The sequence below is a fragment of the Homo sapiens genome, chromosome 6, assembly GCF_000001405.40.
Source record: "Homo sapiens chromosome 6, GRCh38.p14 Primary Assembly".
NCBI lineage: Eukaryota > Metazoa > Chordata > Mammalia > Primates > Hominidae > Homo > Homo sapiens.
The window spans coordinates 2,422,658-2,428,035 of record NC_000006.12 but is presented as its reverse complement, the minus strand read 5'-3'; the positions used below and the strand labels follow the sequence as shown (position 1 = coordinate 2,428,035).

Below are 5,378 nucleotides of genomic sequence, written 5' to 3'. Positions count from 1 at the left end.
CCATGTGGAGTATCCCTGAGAATCACATGCGAAGTCTCTTAATGTCTTTTTAGATTCTGTACCCTTTCTTTAAATGTCAGTCTACAGGTTCCTAATCGATCAGACAGATAAATCCATGTGTAAGCAGACAGAGGTGGAAGGAGGGTCCTTGGAAACCCCGTCTCCTTGTAGTGGCCTCTGAGGGGAAAGGGCCATTCCCCAAGGCTTCATAGAATGAAGACATCTGGTGTAATGTGTAGCGCAAGCCTATTGCTTTTAGGAAATTTTTATTAACGTTAACTTTTTACTGACTCAATTCTCCTGATTGAATTAGACTGCACTAAAATTTAGAATGAGCCTAAAGATGCTAAAATATAAAACTCCCCTCTGGAAATGCAACTTTTCTCTCTCTGCTGCCCCCACTGTCACCCCCACCCAACCTGAGCACAGCTCCTGTCCCTCCCCACTCTGTGGAGGCTGCTGCATTCTGACAGTCTCAGTAGCTTTCTTTACCTCTTGCCACAGGAATCTTCTGCTGCCCTGGCCCATGCTGACTTCAGCCCCAGATCACCCTGATTCTCTCTTTTCTCCATTCCTCTTCCTCGATTTCCCAAATACTACCAAAGTAAATGATGCACCCATGTGGATTGGCTCCATTGCAAATTAATGTTTTTGAGTCTGGACTGGAACCACAGTCCTGCACGATAGCTTACTTGGTCATTGGAGGTCAGTCCCCCTTCCCTTCCCTTCTCCAGTGAAGGCTACACCCAACTTTGCCTACTCTCCTCAAAGTGACAACGCCCTTACACCTCTTAATAAATACCATTCCCTTCTGAGTTGACAGAGAAAACAGATGCTATCTGGCACATACTCCCTCAATTCCCCTCTACTTTTGGACTAACCTTACTAATGTTTTCATGGTTGTGGTTTCAAAAAGATGTCTTCACTTCCTTTCAAGATAATTCTTCCCATGCCCTTCATTCCATCCCCCCAGTTCTCCACTGGAATGTGCCCTCTGTTGTATCTTCTGCCTCTTTCTTTCTACTATCCCTACCTTTCAGCCAGAGGAAAAGAAATACAAAAAGAAAATACATCAACACTGTCAACTCTGTGCCCCCTCAAACTACTTGTCCCATCTCTCTCTCTCTATTCTTCTCCAAAGTCTATGAAAATATTCTAAATGGCCACCACTACAGTCACACCTCCTGTTTCCTCCTCAACCAGTTTAAAATAACTTTTGCCCCTGTCTTTTCAAGAAAATGCTTTCTCAAAAATGAGAACTCTTTTTTATTTTTAGCTCCCACATATGAGTGACATCACAAAGTGTTTCTTTTTCTGTGCCTGACTAATTTAACTTAGCATAACGTCCTCCAGGCTCATCCATGTGGCTGCAAATGACAGGGTTTCCTTCTTTTTATGACTGAATAATATTCCACTGGGTGTTTAAAAGTTGATATCATAGAAGTAGAGAGTAGAATAGTGGTTACCGGAGGCTGGGAAGGGAAGCGGGTAGGAGGGTTATGGAGAGGTTGGTTAATGGGAACAAAATTACAGTTAGATAAGAGGAATAAGTTACAGGATAGTAGCATAGTATAGCATAGTAGGATGACTATAGTTAACAGTAATTTATTGTATATTTCAAAATAGCTAGAATGGAGGATATTGAATATCCTCAATACAAAGATACAATAAATATTTGAGGTGATAGGTATCCCAATTACCCTGATTTGATCATTACACATTGTGTACATGTATCAAAATATCGCATGTATTCCATCAATATATATAATTATTCTGTGTCAATCAAAATTTTTTAAAGTTAAAAAATGAGAAATCTTACTTCCACACTGCATCCTTAACACCTAACCCAGTGACTCTCATATAGTAGATTTTATGAATATTTGTTGAAAAAGCAGTTCCTAATGATTTCCTAATTTCCAAATACAACAGCCTCTTGTCACTAAGCCTGGTCTCTCCACCACCCTACAGTCTAACCTCCACACATTACAGTGAGAGGTCTTTTTAAAACATGCATCAGATGGGATGAATAGACTTTAAAGTGACCTCCACGACCCCCACCTCCTAGTATTCAGGTTCTAGTTCATCCCCCTTGAGCGTGAATGAAATCCGTGACTTGCTTCTAACCAATAGAATATGGCAAAGGTGTTGGAAGGTCACTCTTATTACAACGTTATGTTATAAAAAACTATGTCTTGCCAGCAGCCTCTCTCTGGAGTCTTGTTCTCCTTGTTGACTTTGAAGAAGCAAGTCACCAGAAATAAGTGAATTCTGCCAACAACCTAAGGGAGCTTGGAAGTGGACTCTTCCTCAGCTGAGCCTCCAAATGAGAACAAAGCCCAGCTGACACCTTGATCACAGTCAGGAGGGAGGCTGTGCCACCCTCCTACAGAACTCTTAGAAGAAAACTTAGGAGGAAAACACCATGGCATTGGACTTGGCAAGGATTTCCTGAATATGACACCCAAAGTACAGGCAACAAAAATAAAATTAGACAAATTGGACTACATCAAAATTAAACATTTCTGTGCATCAAAGGACACAATCAACAGAGTGAAAAGGCAACCCCTGGAATGAGAGAAAATATTTGCAAATCAGACACCTCGTAAAGGATTAATAGGCAGAATATATAAAGAATCCCTACAACTCACTACAACAACAGAAATAACCTGATTTTAAAAATGGACAAAGGATGCAAATAGACATTTCTCCAAAGAAGATTTACAAAGAGCCAAAAAATATATGAAAAGGTGTCCAATATCATTAATTATTAGAGAAATACAAATCAAAACCACAATGAGACTTTATACCAATTAGGATGATTACTATTTAAAAAAAAAACAGAAAATAACAAATATTGGCAAGGATGTGGAGAAATTAGAAATCTTGCCCACTGTTGATGGGATTCTAAAATGGTGCAGCTATCATAGAATTCAATATGGTAGTTCCTCAAAGTACTAAAAATAGAATTATCACATGACCCAATAATTTCACCCTTAGAAATATACTAAAAGAAATCAAAAGGAGGGACTGAAACAGGTTTGTATGCACCCATGTTCATAGCAGCATTGTTCACAATAGCAAAAGGTGGAAACAACTCACGTGTCCAACAACAGATAAATGGATAAAGAAAACGTGGAATATATGTATACACACACACACACACACACACACACACATAAACACACAATGGAATAGTATTCAGACTTAAAAAGGAAGGAAATTCTGACACATGCTACAACATGGATGCACCTTGTGGACACTATGCTAAGTGAAATAAGCCAGTCATGAAAGGACAAATACTGTAGGATTTCACTTATTTGAGGTGGAATTCGACTAGCAGTCAAATTCAGAGACAGAAAGTAGAATGGGGTTGTCGGGGATCTGGGGAGGGGAAATGGGAGTTATTGTTTAATGAATACAGAGTTTTCACAAGATGAAGAGTTCTGAAGATGGATGGTGATGATGGTTACACAACAATAAGAATACTTAACTCTGCTGAACTGTGCACTTACAATGGTTAAAATGGTAATTTTTTTTTTTTTTTTTTTTGAGACGGAGCCTCGCTCTGTTGCCCAGGCTGGAGTGCAGTGGTGTGATCTCAGCTCACTGCAACCTCCACCTCCCGGGTTCAAGCGATTCTCTTGCCTCAGCCTCCCAAGTAGCTAGGACTACAGGCATGCACCACCAGGCCCGCCTAATTATTGTATTTTTTAGTAGAGATGGGGTTTCACCATGTTGGCCAGGCTAGTCTCGAACTCCTGAGCTCAAGTGATCCACCTACCTCGGCCTCCCAAAGTGATTACAGGTGTGATCCACTGTGCCCTGCAAAGTGGTAAATTTTGTTATGTCTATTTTACCACAATTTAAAATAAGTAAATAAAAATCATTTACAGATAAAAGGTACATTCAAAATATAAAATACATCAATGAATTTTAAAGTAACAGAGTACCAAAAGTTTTTTTATATTGTTTCAGAATCTATGTTGCAATTAACTTTTAAAAATTATCATTTATTTAAATTTATGAAGACTCAAAGAATATTTATAATTATCCAAAAGACTATTTAAATACTTCTCCTTTTGCAACTACATATTTATGTGAAGCCAGATTTTCCTTATACGTTTCAACCAAAACAACATTTTGCAACAGACTGAATGCAAAGCGTGAATGAAAATCCAACTTCTTCTATTATGCCAGACATGACAGAGGTTTGTTTAAAAAAAAAAAATTGTGGAGGAGGAGCCAAGATGGCCGAATAGGAACAGCTCCGGTCTACAGCTCCCAGCGTGAGCGACGCAGAAGACGGGTGATTTCTGCATTTCCATCTGAGGTACCGGGTTCATCTCACTAGGGAGTGCCAGACAGTGGGCGCAGGCCAGTGTGTGTGCGCACCGTGCGCGAGCCGAAGCAGGGCGAGGCATTGCCTCACCTGGGAAGCGCAAGGGGTCAGGGAGTTCCCTTTCCGAGTCAAAGAAAGGGGTGACGGACGCACCTGGAAAATCGGGTCACTCCCACCCGAATATTGCGCTTTTCAGACCGGCTTAAGAAACGGCGCACCACGAGACTATATCCCACACCTGGCTCAGAGGGTCCTACGCCCACGGAATCTCGCTGATTGCTAGCACAGCAGTCTGAGATCAAACTGCAAGGCGGCAACGAGGCTGGGGGAGGGGTGCCCGCCATTGCCCAGGCTTGCTTAGGTAAACAAAGCAGCCGGGAAGCTCGAACTGGGTGGAGCCCACCACAGCTCAAGGAGGCCTGCCTGCCTCTGTAGGCTCCACCTCTGGGGGCAGGGCACAGACAAACAAAAAGACAGCAGTAACCTCTGCAGACTTAAGTGTCCCTGTCTGACAGCTTTGAAGAGAGCAGTGGTTCTCCCAGCACGCAGCTGGAGATCTGAGAACGGGCAGACTGCCTCCTCAAGTGGGTCCCTGACCCCTGACCCCCGAGCAGCCTAACTGGGAGGCACCCCCCAGCAGGGGCACACTGACACCTCACACGGCAGGGTATTCCAACAGACCTGCAGCTGAGGGTCCTGTCTGTTAGAAGGAAAACTAACAACCAGAAAGGACATCTACACCAAAAACCCATCTGTACATCACCATCATCAAAGACCAAAAGTAGATAAAACCACAAAGATGGGGAAAAAACAGAACAGAAAAACTGGAAACTCTAAAACGCAGAGCGCCTCTCCTCCTCCAAAGGAACGCAGTTCCTCACCAGCAACAGAACAAAGCTGGATGGAGAATGATTTTGACGAGCTGAGAGAAGAAGGCTTCAGACGATCAAATTACTCTGAGCTACGGGAGGACATTCAAACCAAAGGCAAAGAAGTTGAAAACTTTGAAAAAAATTTAGAAGAATGTATAACTAGAATA

At 42.0% G+C, this 5,378-nt stretch overlaps 1 annotated feature.

Moving 5' to 3' along the window:
* Nucleotides 4,547–5,121: an enhancer, noted in NCBI's record as "OCT4-NANOG-H3K27ac-H3K4me1 hESC enhancer chr6:2423149-2423723 (GRCh37/hg19 assembly coordinates)". NCBI's record gives its function as "activates a minimal SCP1, AML or CMV promoter by ChIP-STARR-seq in naive H9 embryonic stem cells {active_cell/tissue: H9 hESC(naive)}" and the evidence as "EXISTENCE:reporter gene assay evidence [ECO:0000049][PMID:30033119]".